The 17,041-nt window shown below is 39.8% G+C and overlaps 1 annotated feature.

Moving 5' to 3' along the window:
• Positions 9,649 to 10,324: an enhancer, noted in NCBI's record as "NANOG-H3K27ac hESC enhancer chr10:2322697-2323372 (GRCh37/hg19 assembly coordinates)". NCBI's record gives its function as "activates a minimal SCP1, AML or CMV promoter by ChIP-STARR-seq in primed H9 embryonic stem cells {active_cell/tissue: H9 hESC(primed)}" and the evidence as "EXISTENCE:reporter gene assay evidence [ECO:0000049][PMID:30033119]".

Here is a 17,041-nt window from a genome sequence, read left to right on the forward strand (position 1 = left end):
CACGTTGCAGGCAGAGCAGGAATATTCAGAGAAACACTCCAGAACCCCTGACCCTACCTACTTCATGCACAAGGTAACCCTACACACTTGAGTAGCTGGAACACTGAAGATAACCATAGTAACAAAATCTAAATCAGCTCAGTTTCTGATTAGATTGACTCAAATCCTACACTAAGAATATAGCAGTAAAAGCATACCGTTTTCTGGCATACATACTTCTTTTTTTAAAAAAAATTATTATTTTTATTTTTTTGAGACAGAGTTTTGCTTTGTCACCCAGGCTGGAGTGAAGTCACACAATTTGGGCTCACTGCAGCCTCCACTTCCCAGGTTCAAGTGATTCTCCTGCCTCAGTCTCCCAGGTAGTGGGGATTATAGGTAGGTGCCACCACACCCAGCTAATTTTTGTATTTTTAGTAGAGACAGGGTTTCAGCATGTTGGCCAGGCTGCTCTTGAACTCCTGACCACAGGTGATCTGCCTCAGCCTCTCAAAGTGTTAGGATTATAGGCGTGAGCCACTACGCCCAGCCCCTGCATACATACTTCTTAGCTCCATTTCTACTGTTCTACCAATGATGTCTGGCCTTAAATTAGAAAATGTTAGGAGATAAATAAGAAAACAAGGAAGAAAACCTGACAAGAGACAAAGCAGTCAAAAGGATCAGACTTAAGAAGAAACAAATGTTGGAATTATCAAGGAAAGAATGTTTAAGCTTTAGAAAAAACACTGGCAACATGCACTCAGATTAAAAATTTCAGAGGAGAGATTAAAATTAAAAGAAAAAGTCAAATGAGATTATTAGAAATACACAGAGAGACACACAGAGTAATAGAGATGAAGAATGCCTCTCATCACCTCATGAGTAGACACAGCTTGGCCAAGGAAAGAAACAGCAAACATAAAATTCAGTTAATAAAAATTATCCAATTTGAAGAAGAAAAGGGGAACTCTTCAGAATAAAGCACTCTACGGAATGAATTACCGTGGGACAAGCAAACACTCAAGTAACTGAAATCCAAAATAAAAAAAAAAGAGTCATAAGAATGGGTCTGAAAGAATAAGGGAAGATTTTCCACAAATGATAAAAGACACCAAAACACAGAGTCAAGAATCCCCAAGATAACAAAGCCCACACATGTTCTAGCCACACTATAAAAACCAGATATGGCTGGATGTGGTAGCTCATGTCTGGAATCCCAGCACTTTGGGAGGCCAAGGCTGGCAGATCATCTGAGGTCAGGAGTTTCAGACCAGCCTGGCCAACATGGTGAAACCCCATCTCTAGTAAAAGTACAAAAATTAGACAGGCGTGGTGGCACACACCTGTACTCCCAGTTACTCAGGAGACTGAGGCAGGAGAATTGCTTCATCCTGGGAGGTGGAGGTCGCAGTGAGCCAAGATCGCACCACTGCACTCCAGCCTGGGCAACAGAATGAGACACTGTCTCAAAAATAAATAAATAAATAATAAATAAATAAATATGAAAACCAAAGATAATGAAAAAATCTGGAGGACATCCAGAGGGGGCAAAATATGCATTACATATAGAGGAAGAAATACTAAATACTACAGAAAATATCTTCAGAAGCCACCCAAGCCAGAAGAAAACGGTGTGAGGTCTCTATAAAGTTAGGGGGCAGGGAAAGCTAGAATACTCAGTACTCAGAAAAATTCCATTTGAAAGTGATGACGAAAAATATTTCTAAAAAAACACAAAATCTAAATAAATAATATTAGAAGCAGACATATGATACAAGAAATACCAAAATAAGTTTTTCAAACAGGAAGCTTTTTGCAGCAGGAAAATTGGATCTATGAAAATAAATAAATTGCTCTCAAAATAGTTAAAGGAAAGATAAATAGAAAAAAATTTCTTATTTGAATCATTCTGCAAGTTTATTGGCTGCAAAAGCAAAATAGAAATATTCTGAAGATTTATAGCAGATGTAAATTAAAATATATAACACTAGCACAAAAGAAGAAATTAGCAGAATACTGTTTTGGGGTCCTTGTATATCAAGCTGTAAAATACTCTTTGAAGGAACACTGTGATAAATTAAACATGTATACTGTAACCATGGGGAACCTATTATATGAAAAAATATGAAAACTAAGCCAGTAACCAATGGTAAATGGATGCATTAAAAATACTAATCAAAAGGCATACAGAATTCTTTTTTAGAATTTTAGAGTTGATATAAAAGAAAGAATTATACACTACCTATAAGGAACTCATTTTAAATACACAGGTAGCATGGCAATGTATCTTTATGTAAGCATGAAGATATAGGATGAAAACAAAATTCCATGTGAACATTGGCAAAGAGAAATTATTAGGAGCTGTATGAATGTCAGACGATCTAGGCTTCAAAACAATACATATTATCAGAGATAAGGAGAGCCACTACATTATGAAAAAGGGGATTAATTCTCCAAAATTTAGTAAAAATCCTAAAGGTGTATGTGTGTATAGATAACAACAGGGCTTTAAGATACATCAAACAAAAGTTAATAAAACTGAAAGGGGAATAGACAAAACTATAATTTTATTAATGTCCTCAACACTCCTGTCGCAGGAATTAAAGTAATAGAGATCAAAAACTAGCAAGGATTTTTAGACCTGAACAACAATATCTACCAACTTGACCTAATTGTCTCTTATAAAAAGCTTAACCCTCAACAGCAAATGCAAATTATTGTCAAGGACACATAGAACGTTTACCTTGTTAAGCCATAACAAGCTATAATATATTTAAAGTGATTGTAACTATACAAAGTATTTTCTCGACAAAAATACATTGAAAAGAAAAGTAACTGAAAATTCCACAAATATTTAGAAATTTAGGTTTACAATTATAAAAACCCATGGGCAAAAGAGGAATGCACAAGGAAATTAAAAAATATTTTGAGTTGAATAAAACTGAAAACACATACACACATCACAAATAAGCATTGGGTCTCTCTTCCTATCACTCCTATTCGACATCATGCTTGAGGGCCTAGCTAGTGCAATAAGGCAAGAAAAGATATTAAAGCCAAATAGATTAGAGAGGAAGTAACAAAAGAGTTTTTTATTTTCAAAGAACATAATGGACTACTCAGAACTTACCAAGGAATCTACAAACAAACTTGTAGAATTAGTAAACAAATTTATCGAGTTCTAGGATACAAATCTAATATTCAAAAAACGTCTTTTCTATGTACAATCAATTAACAATTGAAATTAAAAATTAAAATTAAAACACAGTGCCATTTATAATTGTACCAAAAACACTGAACAGTAGGTAATAATTTCATAAAGCCTGTTCATCATCTCTATGTTGACAATCAACTGAATACATGGAAATATGCTGTGTTTATGAATTGGAAGGTTCTATATTGTTAAGATGTGGAATCTTCCCAGATTGATTTATTGATTTAAAGCAATAGTGATCGAAATCTCAGCAGGACTTTTTGGTAGTTATTGAGAAGCTGATTTAAAAGGTATATGGAAAAAAATAAAAGAAATTGGAATAGTAATAAGAATTTTGAAAACAAGAATAGACTTGCAAGATGTTACCGTATTTCAAGATCCACTGTTCAAGCTACAGGAGTAAAGAAAGTGTTGTGACATTGGCAAAAGCAGAGATACAAAGAATAATTGCAAGAAAATTGTCTAGATATTCATGTGTTTACTTATATAGTCAACTGAAAACAAAGATGCAAAGGTAATTTAATTAAGAAAGAATATTCTTTTCAACAAATTGTGTGGGAAAATTATACATCCATGTGCAAAAATTAAGCTTTAATACATACTTTTCATGATATTAAAAAAAATCACAAAATGTTTCAGACCTAAATGCTAACAGAGCTTTAAAACTTTGAAAATAAGGCTGGGCGCGGTGGCTCACGCCTGTAATCCCAGCACTTTGGGAGGCCGAGGTGGGCGGATCACGAGGTCAGGAGATCGAGACCATCCTGGCTAACACGGTGAAACCCCGTCTCTACTAAAAAAAATACAAAAAATTAGCCGGGCTTGGTAGCGGGCGCCTGTAGTCCCAGCTACTCAGGAGGCTGAGGCAGGAGAATGGCGTGAGCCCGGGAGGCGGAGCTTGCAGTGAGCCGAGATCGCGCCACTGCACTCCAGCCTGGGCGACAGAGCAAGACTCCGTCTCAAAAAAAAAAAAAAAAAAAAAAAAAAAAAAAAACTTTGAAAATAAAACATAAGAGAAAATGTTTGTGACCTTGGGTTTGGCAAAGATTTCTACGATGCAACACAAAATCATGCCCTAAATTGGTAAAATGTTAATAAGTTAATGGAGGAAATCAATGTTAGGAGTTGATTTGAAATAGCAGCTTATTCACTCATGTAATAAATATTTATTTTCTATTTGCTAGGCAGAGCTCTAGGCAGAAAACAAGATTTCATAGAAATAAAAAGTCTTTGCTCTTTGAAATACACAGTTAATAATATGAACAGATAAGCTACAAACTGGGTGGGAAGGTTTGAAAAATGCAAATCTGATTTATTATCATCTTAAAAATATAGTTATAGCGTGATATAGTTTGGATCTGTGTCCCCACCCAAATCTCATGTTGAAATGCAATTCCCAATGTTGGAGGTTGGACCTGGTATGAGGTGGTTGGCTCATGGTTGTGGATTCTCATGAGTGGTTCAGCACCATCCCCTTGGTACTCTTCTCTCAATAGTGAGCAAGTTCTCCCTAGATCTAGCTGTTTAAAAGTGTGGCACTTCACTCCCTCTGTCTCACTCCTGCTCTGCCATATCACCTGCCTACTCCAGCTTCATCTTCTGCCATGACTGTAAGTTTCCTGAGGCCTCCCCAGAAGCTGAGCAGATGCCAGTATCATGTATCCTGTGCAGACTGCAGAAGCCTGAGCCAATGAAACTGTTTTTCTTTATAAATTACCCAGTCTCAGGCTTGGTGCAGTGGCTCATGCCTGTAATCCCAGCACTTTGGGAGGCCGAGGTGGGCAAATCACTTGAAGTCGGGAGTTCAAGACCAGCCTGACCAACATGGAGAAACCCCGTCTCTACTAAATATAAAAAATTAGCCGGGCATGGTGGTGCATGCCTATAATCCCAGATACTCGGGAGGCTGAGGCAGGAGAATCACTTGTACCCGGGAGATGGAGGTTGCGGTGAGCTGAGATTGCACCATTGCATTCCAGCCTAGGCAACAAGAGTGAAACTCCATCTCCAAAAAATAAAAATAAATAAATAAATAAATAAATAAATAAATAACCCAGTCTCAAGTATTTCTTCATAGCAATGCAAGGACAGGCTAAAACATAGGGTTCAACCATCCCATTCCTCAGGACCTTTACTGTGAATCAGTTTTGACTACTGTAAATGACCTCTTATTCACCATACCCTGTTCATTCTCCATGGCATTGCCCTGTATACCAGGTTTGTCTCTTTGTTGGGGAGAGGGGAGGGTCTGCTTATGTATTGATTTAGGCTTGTTTGTGTTCATAACATCTCTCACTCTGATTTTTGCCCAGTTCATTTAACTATTTGCTTGCTACTCCCCACTACCTCAACCACTGCACCCTTATCGGAGAACGATGTCTAGGATACTGCCAGGCACACAGAAAACATTCAACCAATATTTATTACATGAATAAATAGGCCACTCTTTCAAATCAGCTCCTAGCGTCGATTTCCTCCATGCAGAACTGAACAGGCTTCGTAAGCCTCTAGGGTCCGCAGGCTGTGCTTAGAGGAGGCCCAGCAGGATGGTGCCTTCACCCCTCTGGGCTCTTCCCAGGAAGCCCTGACCACCCTGCACCAGCCACCATACTCCTGCTTCTCCAGATGGAAGGCGGACTCTGCACTCACTCCTGTCAAATGAGCAGATAGGACGTGATAAAGGGGAGATACGATACAGTCAAAATGCATGCAACACAAATGATCCTTTTGAGTGCGTTTCAAAAATATGTGCCAAATAAGTTGATGGAATGGAGCAGCATTGCGTGACGCCAATCACTGATTCACTTATGCTTTCTATGTGGTTTTTCCCAAAGTTGACTGTGGTAGCATCCTGCCTGTTCTTGCCTCCTAATTCATTTTCTGCAGAAGTACAAGCAACTATTCCTAGGTGAAGCCCATTGTGTGCAGACGGTGTTGTGCCTCGGAAGGAGTGACCTGAGTGAAGGCTGCCTGGCCCCAGTGACCATTGCTGGCACACATTCAGAGCTGATATAAGTGTCTTGCTCTTGCATTGAATAAGATGCACTTTTTCTTGTCAGCCTTCCTTTCTTTTCTTATGAACAGGTTGCAACCCAGCGTGGACAGAGATTCTGAAAGTCAGACAGTCTACTGTGACGCTGCTTTGGAGACTGATGGAGCAACCTGTGCTTCTGTGGATGGTGTCGGGAGGTCCCGGCTCCTCCTGGAGCTCAGCTGCATGCTGTGTGCTTTGGTAATTTGCTTCACTCCTTGCAGGATACAAGGGCACCATTTAGAAAATTATTACTGGTACAGTCACTGGATGGCAGGAACCTGGAAGAATGAATGCAGTTTCCAAGGCTCCTAATTACAATTCCAAGAGTAGCTTTCTACAGTACACTAGAACTTATTCCTCCTACCCAGCTGTAATTTTATAGTTGTTAACTAACTCCAGGGTAAGTATTAAGTATGGTTAACAATAACTTATTGTGTATTTTCCAAAAGCTAGACAGAAGAGAGGATTTTGAATGTTCACAACACAAAGACATGATAAATATTTGAGACGATGGATATGCTAATTACCTTGATTTGATCATCACACATTAAATACATGTATCAAAATGTTACTGTGTATCCCATAAATATGTGCAATTATAACCTGAATTAAAAATTCATGAATAAAAATAAAAGAAAAAATAATACCTGGCTGAAGATGTTGAAACACTTTTGTTTACTTTAGTAAGCATTAATATACAGCTGAAATCATATCATCACTCCTCATCGCAGATTATATAAAATACTCTAAGCATTTTTTCCTATAATCTGCACATAATTATTTGGTGATTTGAATCTCAGCCTATGTTGTAATTGAACAGTTATCTGAAAATTTGTATAGCACTAAATAAAAATGTGCACTTTTAAAATGTGAACATACTCAGAAAAGTGCCTTAAAGAATTTCAGCTTCATTTTAATTTGTTAAAGCTTTTTTATTCCCCCAACCACCATCACTATACCTATATATGGTTCATCTTTATGTAAGAATATCAATAAATTCAGCAAAGACAAGGAAATCTAGAGAATCTAGGGGCATTTCCTGGATTGTGGTGAATTATAATATGGAAAGGTGATCAGAGCAGCTTCTGGGGCAATGAAACCAGGGCAGGGGCCCTCATGGCAGGCTCTCAAGTAATCCTCAGATATCTATGATAACCAGTGGAAATCACAGGCAGTTCTTGAAATCATGGAAAGGATGGATGATACTGCTCATTTTTGAAATTAAAAGAAAAGTTTTATCATTATAATCATTAACTGGTCAGCCTAAAATGTCAGTAGTGGGGAAGAAATGGGAATACATTGTCAACTCATCAATTTGCAATCACGCCAAAGAGGACAGGGCCGTGAAGTACAATCAGCTCCTTCACTCAGTGAGGGACAGACTGTGCCAAGTCAATTTAATTTCCATCTCTCCATGGAGTGGCAGGACACTCAGACGGGAGAGACAATAGATGTAATCTATCTGCACTTCAGAGAGGCTTTTCACTGCGCTACACAGAAACCCCTAATCAATGAGACAGAAGACAGCGTCTCTGCGGGTGTGGGGGCTGTTCTGTGGGAGGTCGGAGACAACGTAGGTCAAATGGAGGCCGGGAAGGGCAGAGCCCACTGGGACTCTTTGAAAGACATTGTTCAGAAGACGTGGAATACAGTTCTTCAACACTCTCAGGCACTAGCGCCAACTCAAATAAATGGGCTAAGTTGTAATTTACATTGAAGTTAGAAAAAAGTGGCTCAAGACATGAAGAAAAGCATTTCCTTTCTAATGTCTAAAAATTATCACTATATCCCTGTACATATACAGCTCCAAGGTCTACTCATTCTCCTGAGTCTCCAGAAAACAGAGCTTGTCATGTTTTAGATTAGGTAGAACCTTAAAAAAGTAAACTAAGATGACTGAAGTCCCCAGATACTAATAATAAAAACAATAGTGCCAATTTACTAATTTGCAGAGATAATTGTAAAATGAATTAGATGAAGAGAGATAGGTACAGATGTTAACAAGACAAGAATTTATAATATACAAGAAATAAACTAAATTAATAATAAAATACTAATAAAAAATCAGCCACCATTACCATTATTTTTATTTCATTACTTTTTTGGTTATTTGTCTCAGTCTATGTTGAATGACGATCATTTTTGTAAAACATTTCAGAAAGAATCTTACATTATTATATTGGAAAAATATCTACACATCTTCAAAATACTTCATTTTTTTAAATCGGGATTTTCAATCAGGTATCTGGAAAGTTCTGGAACGGCAGTGTCACTGCACTTGTGTGATGTATCTTGCAGGCACCACACTATTTATGCCTCGGGTCATGCTGATGTCTGAGTGCTCTGGAATTTAGTAAAATAAATGCCTAGGCCATTTTAAAAGGCTTCAGAAAATTCACACAGATGAAACGGGAAACAGAATCATCCACGGCAATTAAAGAAATGCAGATGAGGTGAATCGGCAGTAAATGTTCGTACTTGCTCCATTGGTGTTTTAAATCATAACACACAAGGATGATAAGGGCAAGAGGACATTGAATCACTCATAAGGGGTTAATTTTGCCTTCTAAATTGGCGCCATCCTCTTCTAGAGGTCTATCGGATAATCTGGGAACCACAAAGATTGCACGTGTGCTGAATGCACGAACCCCTCTCTTGGAATTTATCTTAAGAAACAGCACAGAAGTAAAGATGTGTGCTTACATGTATTGACACAGGCAGTGAAATGGGGAAAGGCCTAGTGTCCCTCCTGAGGGGGGATGGCTGAGTCAGCCTCATCAACTCATGCAGAAAGAAGTAAAAGGAATTCCAATTCCTGGACGGCTTGGAATTCTGAGCTAAGAGAGCCTGCAGTTGGCTCTGACCTGACAGAGACTCTCCTTGAGCAAATGTCCCACAGCTTCCTCTGAGCCTCTTCCCCACCTGGCCTTCTCCCGGGACCCAGTCCTGCCTTCCCAGCCCAGTTTTAGCAGGAATCTTGATATGTCACTTTCCCAAGAATTCCCCACCCTCAATAAGGAATCAACTTCCTCATACCCTACCCATGATGCCTAAGTCCTTGGCTGCCTTTAGAAAGAATCCTGTTAGGTCATTTTACCGAGAATCCCCTACCCTGAGGGTCTTCACCTAGTGATCCCATCTCCTGCCCCTGCACTCTGCTGGCTGGCTGTAAACCCAGCCACCCTGTTTGTTTTGGGAATTGAGCTCTGTCCTATAGGGACATCTCTTTCCCCTCTTGCAATAATTCTAAACACAATCTGTCTTTCCCACCTTGAGCAATTTATTTTTACCAGTGCTTTTAAGAACCTCCTCCACATCTCGTAAAATGAAGTGGTTAAAACGAACTTCACCTTCCCTGCGAGGTTTCCCATCATTCTGCAACACAAACGGTCTCCCAAAATCTCAGATGTCAGCATAGACATTGGAAAGGTCTGACCAGCTCTGAGGAAGGAGCAGGCTGAAGCCAGGCAAATGGAGAACGTGATAGGTCCTCATGGCCTCAATCAAAGATCAAAGTACAGAAATCATAGATATTATTAGCTAATCTTTCATGTGAAATAGAATTGTCTTATGGACTGGAGGTTCATGGGCATACCATTTCCCTGGAGAAGAGCTACATATGAAGTCAAATTATTGGATGATTTCTTCATGATATCAGAGCAAAGGGAGTTAATCATTTGGCTTGAAGTTTTAATAGCTTGAGGTTCTGCTGGGCCCATGTCTGGGCCTCCATGGTGGTTGTACACGGAATACACAATACCGAAGTCCCATCCTCACATGGCACTCAGACAACTTGAATGAGCACAGCTTACTTCTGTTAATTCTTATTGACACATTCTTTCTTTTGATATGCTAATCCTCTTAAGCAGATTATAGTCAATTAATTGAGTTTCACTTATTCTTAAAGTGACTTTGAATACTACTTAAAATCTGATTCAAGAATGCAGGGTTTCTTGGCAGAGGTATATTCCTGCATATAATTATGGCTGCATAGTGCAATATTGCTTTTCATTGTGCAATATAGTGTCAGCGCCTGGAAATGGAAGCTGGGCTTGAATCTCAGCCTTGCCACACACTGTGTGTTTTAGACATGCAGTAACCCCCGGATCAAATAAGAGCATGTGTTTGAAAGACACTGGCAAACTGCAAAAGTCTGTACAACGTAGGTTGTTTTAATCCCCAGATTTTGTGCTTATGCCCTCTGGGAGGGCATGGAGGTACGATCCGGTGCAAGAAAGAAATTCTTACACATCCCTAATTGCGGGAAGCAGAGTCCTGAAGAGAAGGGGAAACCTGCCTATGCTTTTCCCATCGAGTCATCAGTTAATTACAGGCTCCTACACGGAAATCGGATTTTTCTTCCTTCTCTCTCTAGGTTCCTCTCTCTCTAGGTTCCTCCCTCATCATTGATCTCTTACATTTTTTCTGGCACAATGAGGACTCCTCCAGCCCTAGAAATGAGCCATTTCTCCAAAGACCCCTGGCTCCTGTCAGAGGATACTGGTCAGACCGCCACGTCTGCTGGTGGTTACAGGGTTTCACTACCCGTAGGTCCTCTCAGGGTGCAGGGATGGATAACAGGAGAGGAGGAAGAGACGGCCTTTTACATGGAATTTTTAAACTTGCTTTTCTTTTATGGTAAAAAATAAGTATATATTTACATTGTATGTCAAAAGAGTGAATTTTATTTTTTTAATTATGAAGTGCCTGTACACTTTTCACATTTGAAAAAGACTTGTCCAGAAAAACGAGGAATTCCTGTTGTTTATCTTCACGTCCTGAGGCACCTTTGGGGGTGTTTTCTAAAGCTGAAAACCAGGGATGAAATATCGATTGATCGGAGCAACACTGGCGTTGAAACTCTAACCTAGGGCTTTCTACAGATCTGTGCATGCACGTGTGTGTGTATGGAGAGGTGAGAGTCAACTGTGTGTGCCCATTAAATTTTTAAATATGCCTTAGAGCTTATTGCAGAAGAAAAGGAGGAAGAGAACAGTAAGAAGGCAGTAAGGACTATTGAGAGCTTCTGCCTTTACTTGGCCTGGTGATGGTCAATCAATTTGTAACATGAACTTTTTCTTCCAAAGTTTCTCTTGGATTTAACATGCAACATGGCACTGTGCTTGTCCCCGAGTCTCCAAGACAGATATTTAATTTGTAATGATGTGCACGCCGTCCTCTACCTGCCAATAGATCATTACAAGGGCAGGGTTTCCTCCTGGGGTACTCTTGGCTGCAAATGAGTGCAAGCGTGAAATACTGGAGTCAGGCTCAGCCCACATAATAAAGGGAGGCAATCAGCTATTCAGATGGAGAAGGAAGAGGCAGGGGAAGGACTGACGCCCAGCACAGCCCAGGGGAGGTTAAATTACCCATCAACCTTCTTCGCCCAATCAATAGGCACCAGAAACCTCACATGAAGAAAAATAACCTCAGAGGAGAAAAACGTTTCTAGCTATAACATGCTGTGGTTGTAACCAGTTTGTATTAATTCCCTATATTGGATCTCTTTTTGTGAGTTAATTCACAGGCAAATAATCAGGAATGTGTATTCACATATCTAGCAGGAAAACATTGAAATAATCTAAAATACTCCAGGATAGTTTTGAAATATTAAACGACATGCCTTTAGCTTTTAACTTCCATAATTGGGAACATTTTACTCCTTGAAAACAACTAGAACAATATATTTTACAGCATGTATCAGCTTAACTGGAATATTTAATGGTCATAGGGTCTTTCAAATAAATTTATAATAGAATGATATAAATTATTGGGCTGTCCTGTACCACTTTTCTTTTGCAAAAAATAACTTTTAGTTGAGTCACGTGGATGCTCTGGTTTGATGGAGATGCACACATTTTGGAAAATTATTTTTCAAGTAAATTCGACAAAGTCTTAAATAAGGAGACCATCTTTTAGAAAAAAGAATTTCTAAAAATTCTTTTTTCTCTCCTAAATTACATTTTGAGTTTATTATGAATGATTTCCAAGAAAATGTCAAGGGAGTTTCATATATAATGTTTTGCTTTTATTTATATTTTAATTCAAGCATGATTCAGAAAATCCTGGTAGTAACTATTTTTTTTTTTTTTTTTCGGTCACAAAGTACATCTGTAAGAGGTATGTAGCAGCTGTTGGAGAGAACCAGACTGGCAGCCTGGAGTAGTGGTTTCAACCCCTGGATCTGGAGCTGGACTCCTTGACTTTGTTAATTCTTGGCTTTGCACTGAATTAGCGGTGTGACTTTGGGAGAGTTACTTAACCTTTCTGTGCGTCATTTATAACATGAGATTATTAAGAATTTTGGTATTCATAATCATCTCAATATGTGTTATTCTTATTATTCATTAAGAGCAATCCCCAATCTATATATTATTAAGAATATTAAGGGATGAGCTCCCTGTGAAAATCTTGATGTCTTGCCTGACAAAGTGTGCATTCAGCAATAGACTTTAATTACTTTTTCAAGAAAGATCATGTGAGAATGGTAGGGGGAAAGAAAAGATGGAGAGGGTATGAGAGAGAATGAGAGGAGAGGAATAGGAGACTAGCAAGTTGGCCAATTTTTTTTCACAAAGTTTTACTGGAAAGTGAAGAGAAGACATGGAGTCTTAACTTTGGGGGATACTGGGTTAAGAAGTGTGAAGGTGTGTGTGCATGTGTATGTATGCATGTGTGTACGCCTGTGTGTATGAGTGTACGTGTGAAGTATGTCCAGTGTGGTGAATGTGTGTGTGTGTCAGGATCCTGCAATTTAAGCAGACAAAAATATAAACAACTGAATTGTTTTGAAAAGATTCCAGAAATAATTTTGAGTTTATTTTCAAGGGCAGGGTTACCCATTACTATCAGAGATCTCGTTGCTAAGGACTCCCTTTTTTTATTTTATTTTTGCACTGACTCCTTGCCTCCTGCCAGCAACCTGTGCCAAGCCTCAGCGTCCTGCCTGGAAGGGCATGGTTAATAGCTGCTGGAGGTGGCCCTCCTCCTCTGAGAGCTCCCTCTCAGCTAGTGTGGCAGAGGGCAAGGCAGGAATGCGGTGGGTGTGTTCAGGGTGAGAACTCGCACACTTCACACAGCCCGCCACTTGGGGAGGGGATCCTGCCTCACCCCACGTCAGGGTTCCTCTTTCTACGATGGATGAGGAGAATCACTAGGGGTAGAGAAATGCCTGTTAAGGCAGGATACAGGGCATGTCCCGGCAGGCCTGGGACCGGTCCTCGTTCATCACAGCCTTTCTCCAGAGCCTCAAGCGCCACCATCAGTCTTTTGAGCCCTGGTTTTCCTGACTGCAGAATGAGATAACAGTGCCAGTCCTACTGAGCTATGCCAGGGCTGCCACACATGTGTCCCCCATGCTGGGCGGTGGCTGCCACACACGCGTCCCCCATGCTAGGTGGTGGCTGCACACATGTGCCCCCCATTCTGGGTGGTGGCTGACCTGGAGTCGCTGGCAGCCATCAGCATTGTCACCATTTGATCACTTGAATGACGACCATGTGAGGAAATCCCATGTACAAGGCATTTTATGTAAATTTTTTGACTAAATCATATTAAAGGGGCTATCATAACCCACTTAAGGGATGGGGTTTGGTACCTAGAAGACTGCGTTGTGAGAGTTTCCACCACGAGCTACCTCACGGTGAACTCAAGGGAACCTACGATGAGCTTTTTACTTGCAAATATATGCAGGTTTATTTCATTCATTCACAAGGCAGGATACGTCACATTATGTTTCTAATCACATTATGTTTCTAGAAAACCAACATAACATTTAATATGAACGTCCAAAACAAAGAAAAGTACACCATGAGAAAGTGTAAGAGTTTGATGAAGTATCACTCAAGTAAACAGACATGCCAGGAAGGGACATATTTGCTGAAATCATTTTGCTGATTAAACTATTCCCATTTTGGAGGAAAGAGCTATTATTTTACTAGGTTCTAAAATCCAACCATCTTTTTATACTCCCCCAGGGCGTACTTTCTATAATATTAACCTGCCGATCAGTACTTATACTGAAATTTTTGATACGAAAGATGGCCATTTACAGACTCGCAGCAAATGAACTGAGATTGTAGGCAATAATGCCTTTTAAACAAAAATTGCAGTGTAAGCCACAAAATGTGTACCATTCACAGTTATGGGGAGAAAATAAATTGTTAGCTTGTGCAAAGCCTGGCAATTTGACACAATGCAAATATGTTATCAGTGCTTTTAGCCCACTTCCTGTAATGTTTCTAACTTATTCCATATCGGGAGGGTAAACAGGCGAGCTAATGATACTTACACCGGACCAGCACGGTGACAGGCATCATTGGCAGGGCGCTGGTACTTAACACCAATTAAGGATAATGAAAATGTATCCGCAGCAGAAACCAGGAGGCATTGGTGTGAGTGTCAGGAAATCTGACAAGCTCTTTCAAATTGAAAAACGAGGGGCACAAATTGCAATGAGAGCCATGGCTCTCCAGGGCTTGGTTCAGCTTTCGGGCAATTATCCGCAGAGTACTTGTTTACAAGTTATTATTTATGCAGGGTTCAAATGTCCCAAGCCTGAGGGTAACCTTTCCAGGCAGGAAACCACCGTGTGGGAGAATGCCTGCCCATCATCTGTTTCCAAGACGAAGGGAAATTGGGAAATGGAGAAAATGACATTTGGGTCCACATTCAACACTTAAGCCAAGACAGAAAAAGATGGAAAAAGATTTATCTGGAGGCATAAAACCTATGATTAGGGGAAATAAGACATAAAAATGAGATCCTAGGAAGCACCTATCCAGATGAACTTTACCCAGAAGGGGCTCTTCTGCACAAGGCAATGCCTGCTTCTTTGCCTATGTATTTTATGATTTACAATAAAAGCCGGTATTTCAATGACACCACATTCTTTAGAGTAATGGGCACTAAATTCTTACTGATCCTTAAAAATTTAATAGGCTTATTTTTAGAGTAGTTTTAAGTTCACAGAATAATTGAGCAGAAAGCTCAATGTAATAGAGAGCTCCCATTTAACCCCTGCCCCTGCACACGTACAGCCTCCCCCACTATCAATGTCCCCAACTTGGTGGTGCCTCTGTTACAATCAATGAACCAACAGAACACAGCATCACCCCCCAGAGTCCACAGTTCACACGAGGGCCCACTCTTGGGGTTGCTTATCCTGTGGGTGTGGCAAATTTAGAACGATATAGATCCATCACCGTAACATCATGCAACGTGCCCTAAACATCGCTGTCCTAAAAACCCCGTGCTCCTCCTAGTCACCCCTCCCTTCCCCCAACCCCTGGCAACCACTGATCTTTTTACTGTCTCCCTAGTTGTACTTTTTCCAGAATGCCCTTTAATTGGAATCAGATAGTATGCAGGCTTTTCAGATTGCCATCCTTCACTTAGTGACATGCATTTAAGTCTTCTCCATCCTTTTTCACGGCTTGAGAGCCCATTTCTTTTTTCAGCTAGAAGAATATCCCATTGTCTGGGTGTACTGCAGTTTATCCATTCATCCATTGATGGGCATCTTGGTGGCTTCCAAGTTTTGGCAATGATGAATAAAGCTGCTATGAGCATGCTCACACAGGATTTTGTGTGGAAGCAAGTTTTCAGCTTATTTAGGTAAGTGCCAAGGACTGCAATTGTTGGATCACATGCTAAGAGTGTGTTTAGTTTTATGAGAAACTGCCTAATTGTCTTCCAAAGCGGCTGAGCCATTTTGATCTCCCACCAGCAGTGGATGAGTGTTCCTGCTGCTCCACATCCTCACCAGCACCTGGCGTTGTCAGTGTTCTGTATTCTGGCCATGCTAACGGGTCTGTAGTGGCTAATGAACCTGATTGCTGTTCACTGTGTCCTTCTCTGATGACGTATGAGGTAGAGCAATGATGTGGAACATCTTTTCATGTGTTGCTTTGCCCTCTGCATGTCCTCTTTAGTGAGGAGATCTCCTGCACATTTAAAAATAAATTTTGTTTTCTCATTGTTCACTATGAAAAGTTCTTTGCATATTCTCGACACCAGCTCTCTATCTGAACAATGAGAAAACAAAATTAAAAACTACTCCTAATTCTCATGATATTATCTGCCACATAGCAGAAGTTTTTAATTTTAATGAAGTCTGGCTTATTAATTTTTTTACAGATCTTGCCTTTGGTGGTATATTTTAAAAGTCATTGCCGTACCTAAGGTCATCTAGATTTCCTCCTCTGTATCTTCTAGGAATTTTATAGATTTTCATTTTACATTTAGGTCTCTGATGTATTTGAGTTAATATGTTTAAAGGGTGTAAGATCTTTCTTTTTTTTTCCTTTTGCATGGGATGTCCAGTTGTGCCAGCACCATTTGTTGAAAAGACTATCTTTTCTCTACTGTATTGGTTTTGCTTCTTGGTCAGAGGTCAGTTGATTCTATTTGTGTGAGTCCATTTCCGGGCTTTCTATTCCGTGCCATTGATCTATTTGTTTCTTCTTTAGCCAATATCACACTGGCTTGATTGCTATAGCTTTTGAGTAAGTTACCATTGACTTCTGTATATTGCAATCTTGTATTCTACAGTCTTCCTATAATCACTTTTTGTTTGCAGGAGTTTTCTTTTTTGTGGATTCTTTCAGATATTATTATTATGCTTTTTTTGGCAAATGTATTTAACCAACCCGTAACACTCCTTAGAATAAAAGATTTTTGGAATAAAAAAGATCACAATTCTCCACCCAAGAATGTCAGGTGAAGTTAGGACATCAGTCATTCTTGGAATGGGAGGGACTGGTAGAAGACTTGACCCTTTTTTGTCCCTTTTTCTAGGGTTTTCCGAG

This window comes from Homo sapiens, chromosome 10 (genome assembly GCF_000001405.40).
Source record: "Homo sapiens chromosome 10, GRCh38.p14 Primary Assembly".
NCBI classification, from domain to species: domain Eukaryota; kingdom Metazoa; phylum Chordata; class Mammalia; order Primates; family Hominidae; genus Homo; species Homo sapiens.